The 23,670-nt window shown below is 53.1% G+C and overlaps 1 protein-coding gene across 1 annotated transcript in view, besides 2 other annotated features; it reads right to left on the bottom strand.

Moving 5' to 3' along the window:
• Positions 1 to 23,670, bottom strand: part of MUC12 (mucin 12, cell surface associated) — a 49,372-nt gene that overhangs the window by 4,787 nt on the left and 20,915 nt on the right. Inside the window, exons 2-9 of the mRNA NM_001164462.2 lie at positions 8,631 to 23,519; positions 7,578 to 7,679; positions 5,389 to 5,516; positions 4,991 to 5,055; positions 1,703 to 1,854; positions 1,260 to 1,331; positions 1,008 to 1,170; positions 76 to 237 (exon numbers count right to left, since the gene is read on the bottom strand). Of these exons, the coding sequence (NP_001157934.1) occupies positions 76 to 237; positions 1,008 to 1,170; positions 1,260 to 1,331; positions 1,703 to 1,854; positions 4,991 to 5,055; positions 5,389 to 5,516; positions 7,578 to 7,679; positions 8,631 to 23,519 (15,733 nt within the window). The remainder of the gene's footprint in view (positions 1 to 75; positions 238 to 1,007; positions 1,171 to 1,259; positions 1,332 to 1,702; positions 1,855 to 4,990; positions 5,056 to 5,388; positions 5,517 to 7,577; positions 7,680 to 8,630; positions 23,520 to 23,670) is intronic.
• Positions 15,122 to 15,974: an enhancer, noted in NCBI's record as "H3K27ac-H3K4me1 hESC enhancer chr7:100641457-100642309 (GRCh37/hg19 assembly coordinates)". NCBI's record gives its function as "activates a minimal SCP1, AML or CMV promoter by ChIP-STARR-seq in naive H9 embryonic stem cells {active_cell/tissue: H9 hESC(naive)}" and the evidence as "EXISTENCE:reporter gene assay evidence [ECO:0000049][PMID:30033119]".
• Positions 15,975 to 16,828: an enhancer, noted in NCBI's record as "H3K27ac hESC enhancer chr7:100640603-100641456 (GRCh37/hg19 assembly coordinates)". NCBI's record gives its function as "activates a minimal SCP1, AML or CMV promoter by ChIP-STARR-seq in naive H9 embryonic stem cells {active_cell/tissue: H9 hESC(naive)}" and the evidence as "EXISTENCE:reporter gene assay evidence [ECO:0000049][PMID:30033119]".

Below are 23,670 nucleotides of genomic sequence, written 5' to 3'. Positions count from 1 at the left end.
AGGACATTCAGACAGTGGCCACCCCAGGATCTGTCCCCTCTGTGTGGGCCTGCGGTGCTGGCCTCACAAGCTCACCTGTGCCGTTTTCTCTGGGATAGGCTGAATAAGATGATTAGGATGATCAATGCGAGCAGCAGCACCGCCATCACAGCCCCCACGATCCCATACACGAGGCTCTTGGCGATGTTGAATTCACAGGTCTCTCCCCAGTACCAGTGTGTGTTCGTATTTGGGCACCTGGGGACACAGACAAGCTCACGCTGATCCCCTGGGATCCCTCACATCCAATATCCCAAGGGTTAACCCACTCTCCTAAGCACAGGAAACCAGATCTCCCTCACTCCAACGGCTGGAGCTCAGCCCCCAGAGAGCCTGGGTCCCTGACTTCCTCAGGCTGATGGGCACTGAGGGAGTTGGGGGGACCTGGAGACTGCAGATCAGGAATTCAAATGACTAGGGCTCAAGGGGACCTGAGAGTGTTGGGTGTCTCGTCCCAGACACGTACCATTCACCCACCTAATCTCTAAGCATCTGCTACCTAAATGGGCCTGTTATCATGGTTTTTCTTTTGCACCTTAATTTATGGTCTGTGGACTTAGTGCTGTGGCTGCAGCTAGAGGTAATCTTGACAGCATGGCAGAGATGACATAAGGGAAATTAACAATATAGACAGATATAGAGATTGAGATAGAGATACAAAGATAGAGATAGAGATAGAGATACAGACAAAGATAGAGATAGAGATAGATTTGGAAATTGACAGCATGAACTTTCTCAGGAAGGGATTGCCCAGCTTTGGGACCTCTATGTCTATAATCTACTCCTACTCCTCACTCTTGTGGGTGTGGGGGGTGGGAATGAGATTACAGGGGAGAGGTATGTCCAGGAGTGGGGAGGAGGCACCTCCCAAGCTCTACTCAATCCCCCAACCCTGTGGGTGACTGCTGGGGAGGGGGAGGGCCCTATCACCAGGACAGAGTGGGTGCTGGGCTTATGGGGACACTCACAGGCAGCGGGGGCCACTGCGTTGCAGCTGACATGTGCCCAGGTTACAGTTCATTTGCGACTTCGTTCCTTTGGTGCACTTGTTCACACAGGCCAGCTTCCCATCCAAGACATCCACATAGTAGAACTGGGTATATCCTTCGGCAGCCTTCTGGGTGCATTGCTCTGAGGGAGAGGGGCGGGCAGCATGCATGAGCCTGGCCAAAGCATCCCAGCCCCCACTCTTAGTGCCCACGCTCCACGTAGTCGCTTACCCTGGAAGTCAAAGCCCGGAGTCACCGATGAATCCACGAAAGTGTCCTCTTCACTATAGCACAGTATGGCCTCTGCCGAGAGTGGATGGGAAGGAAGATGGAATAGAAACACTTCCCTCTGCCTCCCTGGGGGTAGCCAGGCCTCTCTCTTCTATACCATGCCCTCCCCTGGGCCAATGCCCGTGGGAGTCTTTGCCCACCCTAGACATGCAGCTGGGCTTGTGAGGAGGCTCAAATGGGGATATGATAGCCTCAGCCTGGGACCGAGAGGGGGCTGTTGGGAGCAGCTTTGGGATCTGGGGAAGGCACCCTGGGCCTGGCTTCTGGGTTCCTGTGGCAGAAGTCTTGGGAGTACCAGAAGAAAGAAGACGTAGAGGAGGGAGAGGTCAAGGTCACGATCTCCAAGACACCCACAGGTGTCAAGGGGTTTTAGGTGAGCTTACTTCTGCAGGAATCAGGATCAAGAAGAGTTGTTCTAGTTTCATTCATAATCTTGGCCTTTACAATCTCTGCCAGGTTTTCAAACAGTTCCTCATACTCTAAAGTGTAGTCTGCCTCCAGGATGACATCGTTCTTGACCACGATGCTACCGTTGCTGGAAGTGGGAATCGTTTCATCAGTTACCCATGTCACCACCCAGCCAGCAAGTGGAGCCCAAGCACCCAGAGTGGTAATGGGAGATGAAGCTGCCATGTGACCCAGAGGTGAGAAAGAATACAGAGTCTTCCCTCCAGCAGCTAACCACCCAGACAGAGGGAGGAGAGCGAAACGATTCAAGATCTCACATATCAGTGATCATGATAAATGCCAATGAGTGAAATTCATCTCTCGCAAAATAGTGGCTCTTGGATGAACAAGTGGAGAAATTTGAATCCCTGTGTCCTGTTGATGCGAAAGTAAAATAGTGCAGCTGCTATGGAAAACAGTATGGAGCTCCTCAAAAAATTTAAAATAGAATTAATGCATGATCCAGCAATTCTACTTCTGGGTATATATACAAAATAACTGAAAGCAGGTCTTGAATTTATATTTGTACCCTTGTGTTTTTAGTAGCATTATTTACCATAGCCAAAAGGTGGAAGCAAACCAAGGGTCCATCAACAGACAAATGGAGAAACAAATGTGGTCTATTGTGGAATATTATTTAGCCTTAAAAAGGAAGTACAGGGCAGGAAGTGCGGTGGCTCATGCCTGTCATCCCAGCAATTTGGGAGGCCGAGGTGGGAGGACTGCTTGAGGCCAGGAGTTCAAGACCAGCCTGGGCAACATGATGAGACCCCATCTCTACAAAAAATACAAAAATTAGCCAGCCAAGTTAGTGCACGCTTGTAGTCCCAGCTACTCAGGACGCTACGTCAGGAGGATGGCTTGAGCCCAGGAGTTTGAGGCTGTGTTGAGCTATGATTGCACCACTGCACTTCAGGCAACAGAGCAAGACCCCATTTTTTAAAATTTAAAAAAGAAAGAAAAAGGTAAGTTTCTAACCTAGAAGCTACTCCTTCAATAGCCAATGATGCAGCTGGGGGGAGAGATCTTGAGACAAGGCAAGTCATCTGTCACTGTCATTTTGAAAGATAAGTCAGTAGTAGGACTCAGGAGGACTTGGACAAAAAAAATCCTGAGCCAAAATGGAAAGACCAGGGTGCCGACGCTGAGCCAGGGGCAAGGTTGGGGCACCGGGACCCTCTCTTCCCTGCTGCAAGGACACGGCACCCTTGAAGCACCCTTCCCACCCCTCTATCTGCCTCTTTCCATTCTCCACTGGGGGCTCTGGCTAGATCTTAAATGTTGGTGCTTTCCAGCTTCATTCCTGGGACACCCTCGTTTTGTGCCATGACCCTCCCTCACCCCCGACCTGAGCCATCTCTTCCTACTCCCAGGACTTCCAGTGACATCCAACTGGGGATACCAATGCCTGTGTCTCTGATAATACCCTTTAGAGGCTGGGTGTGGTGGCTTACGCTTGTAATCCCAGCAATTTGGGAGGCCGAGGCGGGAGGATCACTTGAACCCAGGAGTTTGAGACCAGCCCGGGCAACATAGCAAGACCCCATCTCTGCAAAAATTACAAAAATTAGGCTGGGGCAGTGGCTTACACCTGTAATCCCAGCATTTTTGGAGGCCAAGGCGGGCGGATCACTTGAGGTCAGGAGTTCGAGACCAGCCTGGCCAACGTGGTGAAACCCTGTCTCTACTAAAAATACAAAATTTAGCTGGGTGTGATGACATGTGCCTGTAGTCCCAGCTACTCGGGAAGCTAAGGCAGGATAATCACTTGAACCTGGGAGGTGAAGCTGCAGTGAGCCGAGATTGCACCACGGCACTCCAGCCCAGGCGACAGAGCAAGACTCTGTCTCAAAAAAAGCAAAACAAAAAAATTACAAAAATTAGCCAAGCACGATGGCGCAGGCCTGTAGTCCCAGCTACTCGAGAGGCTGAGGTGGGAGGATTGCTTGAACCCGAGAGGTTGAGCCTGCAGTGAGCCATAATTATGCCACTGCATTCCAGCCTGGGCAAGAGAGCGAGACCCTGCCCCCGATCCCCCCAAAATAAGACCCTTTAGGGCACATTCCACTGCTGCATCACGCAACCACTCCATGTGGCTGGGCCCTGGGCACTTGAAACTTGATGTGATGCACACTGAACTCATCATCTCCTTCCCCCATTCTACCCCTCATGACATTCCTCCACGCAGCACAGGGCACCCCACACCTCCAGCCGCCCAGAAATCTGCCCTCGTTCCTCATTCTTCCCTCCCTCCTCTCCTGCAGCAAATCCCAGGTCTGCTGGTCCTGCCTCCCAAAGACCTTTCACACTGGACCTGTTTTCTCCTTTACTGTCACCTATCTGGTGTAGGCCACCATCATCTCCAGTACAGGCTTCTGCTTATGCAATCTCTACCCTACAGCCAGACTGAGCTATCTACTCTGCAGACCAGACACTATCCCTCATGGGTCTACACTGCTGATGCCAAAAGTCTAACTAACTTGGCATGAGCCATCTTTCCAGCCTCCTCCCCCATCACTGCTCCTTTGCTCTTAAGCACCCAGCCGTTCTGAGCGTCTTTAGGTTCCTGGAATCTGCCCTCCTCTCTCTCCCCTCTGGGCTTCTTCTCATCGATTCCCTCTGCTGCAACTGCCTCTCCTTCCCTTCCCTCTCTCTGGATCATTCCTCCTCATCCTTCAAGCCTCAGTTTTGCTGTTACATTTTTTTTTCTTTTTGTAGAGATGGGATCTCGCTATGTTGCCCAGGCTAGTCTCGAATTCCTGGCCTGAAGTGATCCTCCCCCATTGGCCTCCCAAAGCATTGAGATTACATGCATGAACCACCACGCCCAGCCTGTTGCCAGTTTTTCCAGGAAGAATTCCTTCTGCCACACCAAGCTTTGCTTTTGGGACCTCTCCCAGGGCACCCTGTGTGCCCCTTACTGAAACTCTAAGCAGACTGCTTAGCCACTTTTCCATCTGTGTTCTGCCACTCTGAGCTCAAGGAAAACTGGGACTACTGTGTTCCCAGCACCCAGCAGGGGGCTGGCTTTCAACAAATGTGTGTTGAGTGGATGAATGAATGAAGAATGAAAGGTGTCACAGCCCCCAGTGTTCCCTAGCGGCTGCAGGACTCTCTGACCCAACCAGTATTGATATTCTAGCCATTCATGATAGGAGGAGGCAGGAAAGCAGGGACAAGGAGGATTTCCCCACATCTATAAACCTGCCCCCCAATATACTCACAGCAATCTCCGAATGTTCACCCCTCTATACTGAGGAAGATTGTCGCCCTTCAAAACGACATCCATCTGAAAGAAACAAGGCAGCGAAGGTCACACAAAGCTAGAGCATGAAGACTCTCCTGTTACCCTTCTTGAGGCAGCCCTAGGCACCTTTCTGTGGAGCCCAGGTAAGCTCCCATAGGAGGAACCACCAACCCAGGAAGCTCCCTCTGCCATAATGTGGGTCATGTGGGGCTGAAGGCTGGAAGCTCTCAAAGGACCTCCTTTCAAGACTTAGGGAGACTGGTAGGGAGGGGGCTCATGAGCAGAAGAACTCAGATCACTAAGTTGGGGTGCACCCCCCAATTTCCTCTCACGTGGGACATCACCCTGGGGTGTCTGGGTGTGCCCTGGTCTTACCCGATTCTTGAAGAGGGTACTGAAGTTCTGGTATTCCTGGGAGGATGCGTCATTCATCTTTTCTGTGAAATTTCTGTAAGTCACTTTCACTGTCATACCTAAAGTGGCGTTGAGTTTTTCCGGGGTTTCTGTGGGAAAAGGCCATGGTATGCGTGAGACAGCGACCTCCCAATAATGTCCCCCAGGATTGATACATTCTCTGCCTGTGGGTGTCTTGAAGGTGAAAGAAACTTAAGAGGAAGGTGGGGTCACTGTTCCCTGTCTCCCAAAACCCTGAGGAGCCAGTGGCCAGGAGGGAAAGGGACAGAACTAAGTACAGAAGCCCTTTGATGAGGGGGGCAGGTGAGCTAATGGAAAGAGCCCTGGGCCGGGTGCTGTGGCTCACACCTGTAATCCCAGTGCATTGGGGAGATGGGAAGACCTACCTGGGCAACAAAGTGAGACCCTGTCTCCACGAAAATAAAAAAATTAACCAGGCATGGTAGTGCACGCCTGTAGTCCCAGCTACTCGGAAGGCTGAGGCCAGAGGATAACTTGAGCCCAGGAGTTCGAGGCTGTGGTGAGCTATGATCTGCACCTCTGCACTCCAGCCTGGGCCACAGAGTGAGACCCTATCTCAAAAGAAATGGAGGTTCCTAAAACTAAAAATAGAGCTACCGGCCGGGCGCGGTGGCTCACACCTGTAATCCCAGCACTTTGGGAGACCGAGGTGGGTGGATCACGAGGTCAGGAGATCAAGACAATCCTGGCTAACACGGTGAAACCCCATCTCTACTAAAAATACAAAAAAAAAAAAAATAGCCAGGCATGGTGACGGGCACCTGTAGTCCCAGCTACTTGGGAGGCTGAGGCAGGAGAATGGCATGAACCTGGGAGGTGGAGCTTGCAGTAAGCCGAGATCATGCCACTGCACTCCAGCCTGGGCAACAGAGCAAGACTCCATCTCTAAAAATAAAAAATAAAAATAGAGCTACCATACAATCCAGCAATCCCACTGCTGGGTATATACCCAAAAGAAAGGAAATCAGTACATTGAAGAGATCTCTGCACTCCCATGTTTGTTGCTGTTCACAATAGCCAAGACTTGGAAGCAACCCAAGTGTCCATCAACAGATGAATGGATAGAGAAAATGTGGTACATATACACAATGGAGTACTATTCAGCCATCAAAAAGAATGAGATCCTGTCAATTGCAACAACATGGATGGAACTGGAGGTCGTTGTTAAGTGAAATAAGCCAGGCACAGAAAGACAAACATTGCATGTTCTCACTTGTTAGTGGAATCTAAAAGTCCAAATAATTGAACTAATGGAGGCAGAGCGTAGAAGGATGGTTACCAGAGGCTGGGAAGGGTAGTAGGGTGGAGGTGAGAGGGAGGTGGGCATGGTTAATGGGTACAAAAAATGTATAGTTAGAAAGGATGAATAAGACCTAGTATTTAACACGACAGAGTGACTATAGTCAATAATAATTTAATTGAACATTTAAAAACAACTAAAATAGCTGGGCGCGATGGCTCATGCCTGTAATCCCAGCACTTTGGGAGGCCGAGGCAGGAGGATCACCTAAGATCAGTAGTTCCATACCAGCCTGGCCAATATGGTGAAACTCCGTCCCTATTAAAAATACAAAAATTAGCCAGGCATGGTGGCCCATGCCTCTAATCTCAACTACTCAGGAGGCTGAGGCAGGAGAATCACCTGAACCCAGGAGGTGGAGGTTGCAGTGAGCCAAGATCGTGCCATCACACTCCAGCCTGGGAGACAGAGCGAGACTCCCTCTCAAAAAATAAAATAAAATAAAATAACTAAAATAGTACCGTAGGATTGTTTGTAACATAAAGGTTAAATGCTTGAGGGAATGTGTACCCCATTCTCCATGCTGTGATTATTACATATTGCATTCCTGTAACAAAACATCTCATGTATACTCCATAAATATATACATCTACTATGTACCCCTAAAAATTAAAAATTAAAAAAAATCGACCACCCCATTTTTCTACCTTCTACTTTTGTCCCTGAAGGCAAAGGTAGAAGGTTCATGTTCTCCCTACAGTGTTGCTGGGAAGAGTCACACCTCCTCCACCTGCAAGTGAGGCAGTGGCTGATCCTTCCAACACTGCCATGCTGTTTTCAGGGGTGAAAGGGCCTGCAAAGAGCTGCAGGTCTCAGAAAAGGTCATTACCTACAGGGAAGGATTCCAGAGGGGACAAGCACTGGTAACCAACGTAGCCTTGGGGACAGACGCATTGTTTTCCATTCCAAATTTGTCCTTCCTGGCACAACCCTGTGGAGAGATAGAATCCACAGCAGTCACCGTGGGAGCCCAAAGAGCAAAAACACGCACTCCCATTCCAGGTCCAGTCACTCAGCATCGCACTGGAGAGCAGGACGATGCCAGATGACCGCACAGCAATGAAGATGCCTCTGCTGCCACCTCTGCCCCCGGGAGATAGTAAGAAAGGGAGGAGGAACAGCAGAGAGTAAGGAAACAAAAGATACAAGAGGTCCAGCTATGAAAAAAGCACTCTTATGTACCAAAAGAAGACAACTCTACCCATGGGATCACCTGGAACAGGGAGGAGAAAGAGTTGGAAATGTGAAACAAAACCACAGGAGGCCAGAGCAGATGCGGATTCTCATGATGACAGACAGAAGGAGGCCCGGCGCGGTGGCTCACACCTGTAATCCCAGCACTTTGGGAGGCTGAGGTGGGTGGATCACTTGAGGTCAGGAGTTTGAGACTAGCTTGGTCAACATGGTAAAAACCCGTCTCTACTAAAAATACAAAAATTAGGTAGGCATGGTGGTGGGCACCTGTAATCCAAGCCACTTGGGAGGACAAGGTAGGAGAATCGCTTGAGCCCAGGAGGCAGAGGTTGCAGTGAACCAAGATCATGTCATTGCACCCCAGCCTGGGCAACAGAGCAACACTCTGTCTCAAAAAAAAAAAAAAATCCAGAGAAGAGGGGTTCATGGAAGGATGAAAAATAAATACATAAATAAAACCACCCTGGAGTCATAGAGGAAGGAGAGATTGTCATCATACATGTGTGGGGACCAGTGAACGGCACATGAACACTGGAAGTGGTATCGAACCCAGAAACTGGATAATCGGTAGACCCAAGTAAAGTGGAAGACAGAGGAAAAGAACCAAGAGAGGTTGTAATGGATGAAGAAGACTCATGGACAGGCCTGGAGAAGAAGCTAAACGTGGATGAAATGGAAAGAGCAGTACCTGGTGCTAAGGTTTCCAGGCTTTCAGTAGACACAATTGTAGAAGTGAAGCTTGGACTGGTGTGGAAGGTGGTAGATTCCTCAGTGAGGCCTGATGTGCTGGAACTCGCAGGAAAGAGTGTTGTGTAAGTAGGGGATGGGCTGATGTAGAAAGTTGTAGGTTCTCCAACAAGGTCTGAGGCTGTGGAGCGGGCAGGTAAGGGTGTTGTTCCAGTTGCGTCTGAGCTGCTGTGGAAGGCTGTTGATTCCTGACCAATGTCTGTGGTTGTGAGGGTGGCAGGTAACACTGTGTGAGTGAAGCCTGGGCTGTCAGGGAAGGGTGTAGATTGTTGACTATGAATGGACATTGTGTTGCTGTGAGAAAACGCTGTGGTTTCAGTTGAGCCTGGGCTGCTGTAGAAGGTGGTAGATTCCTCACTAAGGCCTGGCACTGTGGTGCTGGCAGGTGACACTGTTGACAGAGCTGAGCCTGGTTGGCTATGAGGGGTGGTAAATTCTTGAGCAAAAGATGAAGTTGTGATGCTGCCAGGGGACAGTGTTGTCTCAGTTGAGCCTGGCTTACTGTGGAAAGTTGTTGATTCCTGACTGAGGCCTGAGGTGGTGGTGCTGGCAGGGAACGCTGTTGTGTGTGTTGACTCTGCTTGGCTATACAAGCTGGTGGGTTCTCCACTGATGCTGGAGCTTGTCATGCTGGCAGGTGAGAGTGTTTGGTCTGGTGATCTGGAGCTACTGTAAAGGATGGTAGATTTTGCACTGAGGCCTGGTGTTGTGGCAGTGCTGGCTAATGTTGTTTCCATTGAGCCTGGAGAGATATAGAAGGTGGTAGATTCTGCAATGCGGCCTGAGGTAGTAAAATGGGCAGGTAAGGGTGTGATTCCATTTGTATCTGGGCTGCTGTGGGATGCTGTTGATTCCTCACTACGGCCGGAGGTTGTGGAGCTCTCAGGAAAGTGTGTTGTTGCAATTGAGCCCGGGCTGCTGTGGTAGCTGGTAGGTTCTTCAACAAGGGCAGATGTGGTGCTAGGAGGTGAAGATATTGTGTGTGTTGTGCTGCTGTGGGAAGTTCTTGATTCTTCACTACGACCTGAAGCTGTGGAGCTTTCAGGGAAGTGCATTGTTTGAGTTGAGCCCGGGCTGCTGTGGTACGCCGTAGATTCTTCAACGAGGCCTGAGGTTGTGGAGCGGGCAGGCGAGGGTGTTGTTGCAGTTGCAACTGGGCTGCTGTGGACTGTTGTCGATTCCTCACTACGGCCCAAGGTTGTGGAGCTGGCAGAAAAGTGGGTTGTTGGAGTTGAGCTCGGGCTACTGTGGAAAGTGGTAGATTTCTCACTGAGGCCTGGCGTTGTGGTACTGCCGGGTAACGCTGTCGTTTCCATTGAGCCTGAACTGATGGGTGAGGTCGTAGATTCTCCAAGAAGAACTGAGGTTGTGGAGCGGGCAGGTAGGACTATTGTTCCCGTTGCGTCTTGGCTGCTGTGGGATGCTGTTGATTCCTCACTACGGCCTGAGGTTGTGGAGCTGTCAGGGAAGTGTGTTGTTGCAGTTGAGCCCGGGCTGCTGTGGTAGCTGGTAGGTTCTTCAACAAGGGCAGATGTGGTGCTAGGAGCTGAAGATATTGTGTGTGTTGTGCTGCTGTGGGAAGTTGTTGATTCTTCACCACGGCCTGAAGTTGTGTTGCTTTCAGGGAAGTGCATTGTTTGAGTTGAGCCCGGGCTGCTGTGGTAGGTCGTAGATTCTTCAACGAGGCCTGAGGTTGTGGAGCGGGCAGGCGAGGGTGTTGTTGCAGTTGCAACTGGGCTGCTGTGGACTGTTGTCGATTCCTCACTACGGCCCAATGTTGTGGAGCTGGCAGAAAAGTGGGTTGTTGGAGTTGAGCTCGGGCTGCCGTGGGAGGTTGTAGATAGCTCAACAAAGGCTGATGTGGTAGTAGGAGGTGCAGGGGTAGTGTCCTTCGAGTTTGGCCAGCTCTGGAAGGTGGTAGATTCTCCCTGACGGGTTGTAGAGCCGGCAGGGGACAGTGTTGTGTGTGGCGATCCAGTGCTGCTGTGGACGGGTGTAGATGCTTCAAGGAGGCCTGAGGCTGTGGTGTTGTCAGGTAAGAGTGTTGTTTCAGTGGAGCCTGGGCTGCTGTGGAAGGTAGTAGATTCTGGACCAAGGGATGATGCTGTGGTACTGCCAGGGGACAGTGTTGTGTCTGTGGAGCCTGGGCTGCTGTGGGAAGCTGTAGATTCCTGACTGACGCCTGGCATGGTGGTACTGCTAGGGAATGCTGTTGTGTGCATTGAGCCTGGTCGGCTGTGGGAGGTGGTGGATTCTTCACTGACGCCTGAGCTTGTCGTGCTGGCAGGTGAAAGTGTTGTGTCCGGTGATCTGGGGCTACTGTAGAAGGTGGTAGATTTCTCACTCAGGCCTGCTGTTGTGGTACTGCCAGGTAACGCTGTTGTTTCCGTTGAGCCTGAACTGATGGGTGACGTTGTAGGTTCTCCAACAAGAACTGAGGTTGCAGAGCGGGTAGGGAAGAGTGCTGTTCCAGTTGCACCTGGGCTGCTGTGGACTGTTGTTGATTCCTCACTACGGCCCAAGGTTGTGGAACTGGCAGAAAAGTGTGTTGTTGGAGTTGAGCTCGGGCGGCTGTGGTAGGTTGTGGATACTTCAACAGGGACTGCTGTGGTGCTGGGAGGTGAAGGTGTTGTGTCACTTGAGCTTGGCCAGCTCTGGAAAGTGGTAGATTCTTCCTGAAGGCCAGTGCTTGTGGAGCTGGCAGGGGTCAGTGTTGTGTGTAGCGAGCCAGTGCTGCTGTGGGTGGGTGTAGATGCCTCCACGAGGCCTGAGGTTATGGTGTCGTCAGGTAAGAGTGTGGTTTCAGTGTCGCCTGGGCTGCTGTGGAAGGTTGTAGATTGTTGACCAAGGGATGAGGCTGTGGTACTGCCAGGGGACAGTGTTGCCTCTGTTGAGCCTTGGCTGCTGTGGGAAGTTGTAGGTTCCTGACTGAGGCCTGAGGTGGTGGTGCTGTCAGGGAACGCTGTTGTGTGCGTTGAGCCTGGTTGACTGTGGGATGTGCTGGATTCTTCGCTGACGCCTGAGCTTGTTGTGGTTGCAGGTGAGAGTGTTGCATCTGGTGATCTGGGGCTAGTGTAGAAGGTGGTTGATTTCTCACTGAGGCTTGGTGTTGTGGGACTGCCGGGTAAAGTTGTTGTTTCGGTTGAGCTTGGACTGAGGCGTGAGGGTGTGGATTCTCCAACGAGGCCAGAGGTGGTGGAGCGGGCAGGTGAGAGTTTTGTTCCAGTTGAGCCTGAGCTGCTGGGAAAGGTAGTTGATTCCTCACCGAGGTCTGCGGTTGTGAGTGTGGCAGGTAACCCTGTTTGGGTGGAGGCTGGGCTGCCGGGGAAGGCTGTAGATTCTTCAGTGAGGCCCGAGGTGGTGCTGTCCTCAGTGAACAGTGTTGTGTGAGTTGAGGCTGGCCGGCTGTGGAAGGTTGTAGGCTCTTCACGACGAACTGAGGTTGTGGTGCTGCGAGGGAACACTGTGGTTTCAGTTGAGCCTGGGCTGCTGCTGTAGACGGTGGTAGATTCCTCACTGAGGCCTGGCGTGGTGGTGCTGGCAGGTGACACTGTTGAGTGAGTAGAACCTGGTTGGCTACGGGAGGTGGTGGATTCTTCACCGACGCCTAGGCTTGTCATACTGGCAGGTGAGAGTGTTGTGGTTGGTGATCTGGGGCTGCTGTAGAAGGTGGTAGATGCCTCACTGAGGCCTGGTGTTGTGGTACTGCCAGGTAACGTTGTTATTTCAGTTGAGCCTGGACTGATGCGTGAGGTTGTAGATTCTCCACGACCTGAGGTTGTGGAGTGGGCAGATGAGGGTGTTGTTCCACTTGCATCTGGGCTGCTGTGGAATATTGTTGATTTCTCACTGTGGCCCGAAGTTGTGGAGCTGGCAGGGAAGTGTGTTGTTGGAGTCGAGCCTGGGCTGCGGTGGTAGGTTGTAGATTCTTCAACAGGGGCTGTTGCGGTGCTAGGAGGTGAAGGCGTCGTGTGAGTTGAGGCTGGGTGGGTCTGGAAGGCGGTAGATTCTCCCTGAAGTCCAGGGCTTGTGGAGCTGGCAGGGGACAGTGTTGTGCGTGGTGAGCCAGTGCTGCTGTGGACGCGTGTAGATGCTTCAACGATGCCTGAGCTTGTGGTGCTGTCAGGGAAGAGTGTTGTGTGAGTGGAGCCTGGGCTGCTGTGGAAGGTTGTAGATTCTTGACCAAAGGATAAGGCTGTGGTACTGCCAGGGGACAGTGCTGTGTCAGTTGAACCTGAGCTGCTGTGGGAAGTTGTTGATTCCTGACTGGAGCCTGAGGTGGTGGTGCTGGCAGGTAACAGTGTTGTATCCGTTGAGCCTGGGCTGCTGTGGGAAGTTGTAGAATGCCGACTGAGGCCTGGCGTGGTGGTGCTGTCAGGGAATGCTGTTGTGTGCGTTGAGCCTGGTCGGCTGTGGGAGGTGGTGGATTCTTCACTGACGCCTGAGCTTGTCGTGCTGGCAGGTGAGAGTGTTGTGGCTGGTGATCTGGGGCTACTGTGGAAAGTGGTAGATTTCTCACTGAGGCCTGGCGTTGTGGTACTGCCGGGTAACGCTGTCGTTTCCATTGAGCCTGAACTGATGGGTGAGGTCGTAGATTCTCCAAGAAGAACTGAGGTTGTGGAGCGGGCAGGTAGGACTATTGTTCCCGTTGCGTCTTGGCTGCTGTGGGATGCTGTTGATTCCTCACTACGGCCTGAGGTTGTGGAGCTGTCAGGGAAGTGTGTTGTTGCAGTTGAGCCCGGGCTGCTGTGGTAGCTGGTAGGTTCTTCAACAAGGGCAGATGTGGTGCTAGGAGCTGAAGATATTGTGTGTGTTGTGCTGCTGTGGGAAGTTGTTGATTCTTCACCACGGCCTGAAGTTGTGTCGCTTTCAGGGAAGTGCATTGTTTGAGTTGAGCCCGGGCTGCTGTGGTAGGTCGTAGATTCTTCAACGAGGCCTGAGGTTGTGGAGCGGGCAGGCGAGGGTGTTGTTGCAGTTGCAACTGGGCTGCTGTGGACTGTTGTCGATTCCTCACTACGGCCCAAGGTTGTGGAGCTGGCAGAAAAGTGGGTTGTTGGAGTTGAGCTCGGGCTGCCGTGGGAGGTTGTAGATAGCTCAACAAAGGCTGATGTGGTAGTAGGAGGTGCAGGGGTAGTGTCCTTCGAGTTAGGCCAGCTCTGGAAGGTGGTAGATTCTCCCTGACGGGTTGTAGAGCCGGCAGGGGACAGTGTTGTGTGTGGCGATCCAGTGCTGCTGTGGACGGGCGTAGATGCTTCAAGGAGGCCTGAGGCTGTGGTGTTGTCAGGTAAGAGTGTTGTTTCAGTGGAGCCTGGGCCGCTGTGGAAGGTAGTAGATTCTGGACCAAGGGATGATGCTGTGGTACTGCCAGGGGACAGTGTTGTGTCTGTGGAGCCTGGGCTGCTGTGGGAAGCTGTAGATTCCTGACTGACGCCTGGCATGGTGGTACTGCCAGGGAATGCTGTTGTGTGCGTTGAGCCTGGTCGGCTGTGGGAGGTGGTGGATTCTTCACTGACGCCTGAGCTTGTCGTGCTGGCAGGTGAGAGTGTTGTGTCCGGTGATCTGGGGCTACTGTAGAAGGTGGTAGATTTCTCACTCAGGCCTGCTGTTGTGGTACTGCCAGGTAACGCTGTTGTTTCCGTTGAGCCTGAACTGATGGGTGACGTTGTAGGTTCTCCAACAAGAACTGAGGTTGCAGAGCGGGTAGGGAAGAGTGCTGTTCCAGTTGCACCTGGGCTGCTGTGGACTGTTGTTGATTCCTCACTACGGCCCAAGGTTGTGGAACTGGCAGAAAAGTGTGTTGTTGGAGTTGAGCTCGGGCGGCTGTGGTAGGTTGTGGATACTTCAACAGGGGCTGCTGTGGTGCCGGGAGGTGAAGGTGTTGTGTCACTTGAGCTTGGCCAGCTCTGGAAAGTGGTAGATTCTTCCTGAAGGCCAGCGCTTGTGGAGCTGGCAGGGGTCAGTGTTGTGTGTAGCGAGCCAGTGCTGCTGTGGGTGGGTGTAGATGCCTCCACGAGGCCTGAGGTTATGGTGTCGTCAGGTAAGAGTGTGGTTTCAGTGTCGCCTGGGCTGCTGTGGAAGGTTGTAGATTGTTGACCAAGGGATGAGGCTGTGGTACTGCCAGGGGACAGTGTTGCCTCTGTTGAGCCTTGGCTGCTGTGGGAAGCTGTAGGTTCCTGACTGAGGCCTGAGGTGGTGGTGCTGTCAGGGAACGCTGTTGTGTGCGTTGAGCCTGGTTGACTGTGGGATGTGCTGGATTCTTCACTGACGCCTGAGCTTGTTGTGGTTGCAGGTGAGAGTGTTGCATCTGGTGATCTGGGGCTAGTGTAGAAGGTGGTTGATTTCTCACTGAGGCTTGGTGTTGTGGGACTGCCGGGTAAAGTTGTTGTTTCGGTTGAGCTTGGACTGAGGCGTGAGGGTGTGGATTCTCCAACGAGGCCAGAGGTGGTGGAGCGGGCAGGTGAGAGTGTTGTTCCAGTTGAGCCTGAGCTGCTGGGAAAGGTAGTTGATTCCTCACCGAGGTCTGCGGTTGTGAGTGTGGCAGGTAACCCTGTTTGGGTGGAGGCTGGGCTGCCGGGGAAGGCTGTAGATTCTTCAGTGAGGCCCGAGGTGGTGCTGTCCTCAGTGAACAGTGTTGTGTGAGTTGAGGCTGGCCGGCTGTGGAAGGTTGTAGGCTCTTCACCACGAACTGAGGTTGTGGTGCTGCGAGGGAACACTGTGGTTTCAGTTGAGCCTGGGCTGCTGCTGTAGACGGTGGTAGATTCCTCACTGAGGCCTGGCGTGGTGGTGCTGGCAGGTGACACTGTTGAGTGAGTAGAACCTGGTTGGCTACGGGAGGTGGTGGATTCTTCACCGACGCCTAGGCTTGTCATACTGGCAGGTGAGAGTGTTGTGGTTGGTGATCTGGGGCTGCTGTAGAAGGTGGTAGATGCCTCACTGAGGCCTGGTGTTGTGGTACTGCCAGGTAACGTTGTTATTTCAGTTGAGCCTGGACTGATGCGTGAGGTTGTAGATTCTCCACGACCTGAGGTTGTGGAGTGGGCAGATGAGGGTGTTGTTCCACTTGCATCTGGGCTGCTGTGGAATATTGTTGATTTCTCACTGTGGCCCGAAGTTGTGGAGCTGGCAGGGAAGTGTGTTGTTGGAGTCGAGCCTGGGCTGCGGTGGTAGGTTGTAGATTCTTCAACAGGGGCTGTTGCGGTGCTAGGAGGTGAAGGCGTCGTGTGAGTTGAGGCTGGGTGGGTCTGGAAGGTGGTAGATTCTCCCTGAAGTCCAGGGCTTGTGGAGCTGGCAGGGGACAGTGTTGTGCGTGGTGAGCCAGTGCTGCTGTGGACGCGTGTAGATGCTTCAACGATGCCTGAGCTTGTGGTGCTGTCAGGGAAGAGTGTTGTGTGAGTGGAGCCTGGGCTGCTGTGGAAGGTTGTAGATTCTTGACCAAAGGATAAGGCTGTGGTACTGCCAGGGGACAGTGCTGTGTCAGTTGAACCTGGGCTGCTGTGGGAAGTTGTTGATTCCTGACTGGGGCCTGAGGTGGTGGTGCTGGCAGGTAACAGTGTTGTATCCGTTGAGCCTGGGCTGCTGTGGGAAGTTGTAGAATGCCGACTGAGGCCTGGCGTGGTGGTGCTGTCAGGGAATGCTGTTGTGTGCGTTGAGCCTGGTTGACTGTGGGATGTGCTGGATTCTTCACTGACGCCTGAGCTTGTTGTGGTTGCAGGTGAGAGTGTTGCATCTGGTGATCTGGGGCTAGTGTAGAAGGTGGTTGATTTCTCACTGAGGCTTGGTGTTGTGGGACTGCCGGGTAAAGTTGTTGTTTCGGTTGAGCTTGGACTGAGGCGTGAGGGTGTGGATTCTCCAACGAGGCCAGAGGTGGTGGAGCGGGCAGGTGAGAGTGTTGTTCCAGTTGAGCCTGAGCTGCTGGGAAAGGTAGTTGATTCCTCACCGAGGTCTGCGGTTGTGAGTGTGGCAGGTAACCCTGTTTGGGTGGAGGCTGGGCTGCCGGGGAAGGCTGTAGATTCTTCAGTGAGGCCCGAGGTGGTGCTGTCCTCAGTGAACAGTGTTGTGTGAGTTGAGGCTGGCCGGCTGTGGAAGGTTGTAGGCTCTTCACCACGAACTGAGGTTGTGGGGGTGCGAGGGAACACTGTGGTTTCAGTTGAGCCTGGGCTGCTGCTGTAGACGGTGGTAGATTCCTCACTGAGGCCTGGCGTGGTGGTGCTGGCAGGTGACACTGTTGAGTGAGTAGAACCTGGTTGGCTACGGGAGGTGGTGGATTCTTCACCGACGCCTAGGCTTGTCATACTGGCAGGTGAGAGTGTTGTGGTTGGTGATCTGGGGCTGCTGTAGAAGGTGGTAGATGCCTCACTGAGGCCTGGTGTTGTGGTACTGCCAGGTAACGTTGTTATTTCAGTTGAGCCTGGACTGATGCGTGAGGTTGTAGATTCTCCACGACCTGAGGTTGTGGAGTGGGCAGATGAGGGTGTTGTTCCACTTGCATCTGGGCTGCTGTGGAATATTGTTGATTTCTCACTGTGGCCCGAAGTTGTGGAGCTGGCAGGGAAGTGTGTTGTTGGAGTCGAGCCTGGGCTGCGGTGGTAGGTTGTAGATTCTTCAACAGGGGCTGTTGCGGTGCTAGGAGGTGAAGGCGTCGTGTGAGTTGAGGCTGGGTGGGTCTGGAAGGCGGTAGATTCTCCCTGAAGTCCAGGGCTTGTGGAGCTGGCAGGGGACAGTGTTGTGCGTGGTGAGCCAGTGCTGCTGTGGACGCGTGTAGATGCTTCAACGATGCCTGAGCTTGTGGTGCTGTCAGGGAAGAGCGTTGTGTGAGTGGAGCCTGGGCTGCTGTGGAAGGTTGTAGATTCTTGACCAAAGGATAAGGCTGTGGTACTGCCAGGGGACAGTGCTGTGTCAGTTGAACCTGGGCTGCTGTGGGAAGTTGTTGATTCCTGACTGGGGCCTGAGGTGGTGGTGCTGGCAGGTAACAGTGTTGTATCCGTTGAGCCTGGGCTGCTGTGGGAAGTTGTAGAATGCCGACTGAGGCCTGGCGTGGTGGTGCTGTCAGGGAATGCTGTTGTGTGCGTTGAGCCTGGTCGGCTGTGGGAGGTGGTGGATTCTTCACTGACGCCTGAGCTTGTCGTGCTGGCAGGTGAGAGTGTTGTGGCTGGTGATCTGGGGCTACTGTGGAAAGTGGTAGATTTCTCACTGAGGCCTGGCGTTGTGGTACTGCCGGGTAACGCTGTCGTTTCCATTGAGCCTGAACTGATGGGTGAGGTCGTAGATTCTCCAAGAAGAACTGAGGTTGTGGAGCGGGCAGGTAGGACTATTGTTCCCGTTGCGTCTTGGCTGCTGTGGGATGCTGTTGATTCCTCACTACGGCCTGAGGTTGTGGAGCTGTCAGGGAAGTGTGTTGTTGCAGTTGAGCCCGGGCTGCTGTGGTAGCTGGTAGGTTCTTCAACAAGGGCAGATGTGGTGCTAGGAGGTGAAGATATTGTGTGTGTTGTGCTGCTGTGGGAAGTTCTTGATTCTTCACTACGACCTGAAGCTGTGGAGCTTTCAGGGAAGTGCATTGTTTGAGTTGAGCCCGGGCTGCTGTGGTACGCCGTAGATTCTTCAACGAGGCCTGAGGTTGTGGAGCGGGCAGGCGAGGGTGTTGTTGCAGTTGCAACTGGGCTGCTGTGGACTGTTGTCGATTCCTCACTACGGCCCAAGGTTGTGGAGCTGGCAGAAAAGTGGGTTGTTGGAGTTGAGCTCGGGCTGCCGTGGGAGGTTGTAGATAGCTCAACAAAGGCTGATGTGGTAGTAGGAGGTGCAGGCATAGTGTCCTTTGAGCTTGGCCAGCTCTGGAAGGTGGTAGATTCTCCCTGACGTGTTGTAGAGCCGGCAGGGGACAGTGTTGTGTGTGGCGATCCAGTGCTGCTGTGGACGGGCGTAGATGCTTCAAGGAGGCCTGAGGCTGTGGTGTTGTCAGGTAAGAGTGTTGTTTCAGTGGAGCCTGGGCTGCTGTGGAAAGTAGTAGATTCTGGACCAAGGGATGATGCTGTGGTACTGCCAGGGGACAATGTTGTGTCTGTGGAGCCTGGGCTGCTGTGGGAAGCTGTAGATTCCTGACTGACGCCTGGCATGGTGGTACTGCCAGGGAATGCTGTTGTGTGCGTTGAGCCTGGTCGGCTGTGGGAGGTGGTGGATTCTTCACTGACGCCTGAGCTTGTCGTGCTGGCAGGTGAGAGTGTTGTGTCCGGTGATCTGGGGCTACTGTAGAAGGTGGTAGATTTCTCACTCAGGCCTGCTGTTGTGGTACTGCCAGGTAACGCTGTTGTTTCCGTTGAGCCTGAACTGATGGGTGACGTTGTAGGTTCTCCAACAAGAACTGAGGTTGCAGAGCGGGTAGGGAAGAGTGCTGTTCCAGTTGCACCTGGGCTGCTGTGGACTGTTGTTGATTCCTCACTACGGCCCAAGGTTGTGGAACTGGCAGAAAAGTGTGTTGTTGGAGTTGAGCTCGGGCGGCTGTGGTAGGTTGTGGATACTTCAACAGGGGCTGCTGTGGTGCCGGGAGGTGAAGGTGTTGTGTCACTTGAGCTTGGCCAGCTCTGGAAAGTGGTAGATTCTTCCTGAAGGCCAGCGCTTGTGGAGCTGGCAGGGGTCAGTGTTGTGTGTAGCGAGCCAGTGCTGCTGTGGGTGGGTGTAGATGCCTCCACGAGGCCTGAGGTTATGGTGTCGTCAGGTAAGAGTGTGGTTTCAGTGTCGCCTGGGCTGCTGTGGAAGGTTGTAGATTGTTGACCAAGGGATGAGGCTGTGGTACTGCCAGGGGACAGTGTTGCCTCTGTTGAGCCTTGGCTGCTGTGGGAAGTTGTAGGTTCCTGACTGAGGTCTGAGGTGGTGGTGCTGTCAGGGAATGCTGTTGTGTGCGTTGAGCCTGGTTGACTGTGGGATGTGCTGGATTCTTCGCTGACGCCTGAGCTTGTTGTGGTTGCAGGTGAGAGTGTTGCATCTGGTGATCTGGGGCTAGTGTAGAAGGTGGTTGATTTCTCACTGAGGCTTGGTGTTGTGGGACTGCCAGGTAAAGTTGTTGTTTCGGTTGAGCTTGGACTGAGGCGTGAGGGTGTGGATTCTCCAACGAGGCCAGAGGTGGTGGAGCGGGCAGGTGAGAGTTTTGTTCCAGTTGAGCCTGAGCTGCTGGGAAAGGTAGTTGATTCCTCACCGAGGTCTGCGGTTGTGAGTGTGGCAGGTAACCCTGTTTGGGTGGAGGCTGGGCTGCCGGGGAAGGCTGTAGATTCTTCAGTGAGGCCCGAGGTGGTGCTGTCCTCAGTGAACAGTGTTGTGTGAGTTGAGGCTGGCCGGCTGTGGAAGGTTGTAGGCTCTTCACCATGAACTGAGGTTGTGGTGCTGTGAGGGAACACTGTGGTTTCAGTTGAGCCTCGGCTGCTGCTGTAGACGGTGGTAGATTCCTCACTGAGGCCTGGCGTGGTGGTGCTGGCAGGTGACACTGTTGAGTGAGTAGAACCTGGTTGGCTACGGGAGGTGGTGGATTCTTCACCGACGCCCAGGCTTGTCATGCTGGCAGGTGAGAGTGTTGTGGTTGGTGATCTGGGGCTGCTGTAGAAGGTGGTAGATGCCTCACTGAGGCCTGGTGTTGTGGTACTGCCAGGTAACGTTGTTATTTCAGTTGAGCCTGGACTGATGCGTGAGGTTGTAGATTCTCCACGACCTGAGGTTGTGGAGTGGGCAGATGAGGGTGTTGTTCCACTTGCATCTGGGCTGCTGTGGAATATTGTTGATTTCTCACTGTGGCCCGAAGTTGTGGAGCTGGCAGGGAAGTGTGTTGTTGGAGTCGAGCCTGGGCTGCGGTGGTAGGTTGTAGATTCTTCAACAGGGGCTGTTGCGGTGCTAGGAGGTGAAGGCGTTGTGTGAGTTGAGGCTGGGTGGGTCTGGAAGGCAGTAGATTCTCCCTGAAGTCCAGGGCTTGTGGAGCTGGCAGGGGACAGTGTTGTGCGTGGTGAGCCAGTGCTGCTGTGGACGCGTGTAGATGCTTCAACGATGCCTGAGCTTGTGGTGCTGTCAGGGAAGAGTGTTGTGTGAGTGGAGCCTGGGTTGCTGTGGAAGGTTGTAGATTCTTGACCAAAGGATAAGGCTGTGGTACTGCCAGGGGACAGTGCTGTGTCAGTTGAACCTGAGCTGCTGTGGGAAGTTGTTGATTCCTGACTGGGGCCTGAGGTGGTGGTGCTGGCAGGTAACAGTGTTGTATCCGTTGAGCCTGGGCTGCTGTGGGAAGTTGTAGAATGCCGACTGAGGCCTGGCGTGGTGGTGCTGTCAGGGAATGCTGTTGTGTGCGTTGAGCCTGGTCGGCTGCGGGAGGTGGTGGATTCTTCACTGACGCCTGAGCTTGTCGTGCTGGCAGGTGAGAGTGTTGTGGCTGGTGATCTGGGGCTACTATGGAAAGTGGTAGATCTCTCACTGAGGCCTGGCGTTGTGGTACTGCCGGGTAACGCTGTCGTTTCCATTGAGCCTGAACTGATGGGTGAGGTCGTAGATTCTCCAAGAAGAACTGAGGTTGTGGAGCGGGCAGGTAGGACTATTGTTCCCGTTGCGTCTTGGCTGCTGTGCGATGCTGTTGATTCCTCACTACGGCCTGAGGTTGTGGAGCTGTCAGGGAAGTGTGTTGTTGCAGTTGAGCCCGGGCTGCTGTGGTAGCTGGTAGGTTCTTCAACAAGGGCAGATGTGGTGCTAGGAGCTGAAGATATTGTGTGTGTTGTGCTGCTGTGGGAAGTTGTTGATTCTTCACCACGGCCTGAAGTTGTGTCGCTTTCAGGGAAGTGCATTGTTTGAGTTGAGCCCGGGCTGCTGTGGTAGGTCGTAGATTCTTCAACGAGGCCTGAGGTTGTGGAGCGGGCAGAAATGTGGGTTGTTGGAATTGAGCTCGGGCTGCCGTGGGAGGTTGTAGATGGCTCAACAAAGGCTGATGTGGTAGTAGGAGGTGCAGGCCTAGTGTCCTTTGAGCTTGGCCAGCTATGGAATGTGGTAGATTCTCCCTGACGGGTTGTAGAGCCGGCAGGGGACAGTGTTGTGTGTGGCGATCTGGTGCTGCTGTGGACGGGCATAGATGCTTCAAGGAGTCCTGAGGCTGTGGTGTTGTCAGGTAAGAGTGTTGTTTCAGTGGAGCCTGGGCGGCTGTGGAAGGTAGTATATTCTGGACCAAGGGATGATGCTGTGGTACTGCCAGGGGACAATGTTGTGTCTGTGGGGCCTGGGCTGCTGTGGGAAGCTGTAGATTCCTGACTGAGGCCTGGCATGGTGGTACTGCCAGGGAATGCTGTTGTGTGTGTTGAGCCTGGTCGGCTGTGGGAGGTGGTGGATTCTTCACTGACGCCTGAGCTTGTCATGCTGGCAGGTAAGTGTGTTGTGTCTGGTGATCTGGGGCTACTGTAGAAAGTGGTAGATTTCTCACTGAGGCCTGGTTTTGTGGTACTGCCGGGTAACGCTGTGGTTTCCATTGAGCCTGAACTGATGGGTGAGGGCGTCGAGTCTCCAACAAGAACTGAGGGTGTAGAGCCGGCAGGTAAGACTGTTGTTGCCATTGCATCTGGGCTGCTGTGGGATGCTTTTGATTCCTCACTACGGCCTGAGATTGTGGAGCTATCACGGAAGTGTGTTGTTTCAGTTGAGCCCAGGCTGCTGTGGTAGCTTGTATGTGCTAGGGCAGCTGTGGTGCTAGGAGTTGAAGATTTTGTGTGTGTTGTGCTGCCGTGGAAAGTTGCTGATTCTTCACTATGGCCTGAAGTTGTGGAGCTTTCAGGGAAGTGCATTGTTTGAGTTGAGCCCGGGCTCCTGTGGTAGGCTGTAGATTCTTCAACATGGCCTGAGGTCGCGGAGCGGGCAGGTGGGGGTGTTGTTGCAGTTGCAACTGGGCTGCTGTGGACTGGTGTCGATTCCTCACTATGGCCCAAGGTTGTGGAGCTGGCAGAAAAGTGGGTTGTTGGAGTTGAGCTCGGGCTGCTGTGATAAGTTGTAGATAGTTTAACAAAGGCTGATGTGGTACCAGAAGGTGCAGGCGAAGTGTCCTTTGAGCTTGGCCAGCTCTGGAAGGTGGTAGGTTCTCCCTCATGGGTTGTAGAGCTGGAAGGGGACAGTGTTGTGTGTGGCGATCCAGTGCTGCTGTGGACGGGCGTAGATGCTTCAAGGAGGCCTGAGGTTGTGGTGTTGTCAGGTAAGCGTGTTGTTTTAGTGTAGCCTGGGCTGCTGTGGAAGGTAGTAGATTCTGGACCAAGGGATGATGGTGTGGTAGTGCCAGGGGACAGTGTTGTGTCTGTGGAGCCGGGGATGCTGTGGGAAGCTGTAGATTCCTGACTGACGCCTGGCATGGTGGTACTGTCAGGGAACGCTATTGTGTGCGTTGGGCCTGGTCGGCTGTGGGAGGTGGTTGATTTTTCACTGACGCCTGAGCTTGTCGTGCGGGCAGGTGAGAGTGTTCTGTCTGGTGATCTGGGGCTACTGTAGAAGGTGGTAGATTTCTCACTCAGGCCTGCTGTTGTGGTACTGCCAGGTAACGCTGTTGTTTCCATTGAGGCTGAAGTGATGGGTGAGGTTTTAGGTTCTCCAACAAAAACTGAGGTTGCAGAGTGGGAAGGGAAGAGTGTTGTTCCAGTTGCACCTGGGCCGCTGTGGGATACTGTTGATTCCTCACTGTGGCCTGAGTTTGTGGAGCTGTCAAGGAAGTGTTTTGTTGCAGTTGAGCCCGTGATAAATGTGACTGACACCCCATAGTCACTAAAGGTGGTAAAAGGGTCGCTTGAACTGGGTGTGGATGCAGAAGTTGTATTACCTCCAATACTGGTGTTTACTGTTGAGCCTGTGATTTGAGAGAAACCAGAGAAAGTGCTATGATTTATGACTGTCTCCTCATGTTTGGTGGCAGTCAATTCTGACACATCCGGGCTGGAAGACACCTGGTCAGCCCATGGTATTGAAACTCAAGTTTCCCTTTTGGGGGCATAGGAAGT

This window comes from Homo sapiens, chromosome 7, assembly GCF_000001405.40.
Source record: "Homo sapiens chromosome 7, GRCh38.p14 Primary Assembly".
NCBI lineage: Eukaryota > Metazoa > Chordata > Mammalia > Primates > Hominidae > Homo > Homo sapiens.
This window is presented reverse-complemented; position numbering and strand designations above follow the sequence as displayed.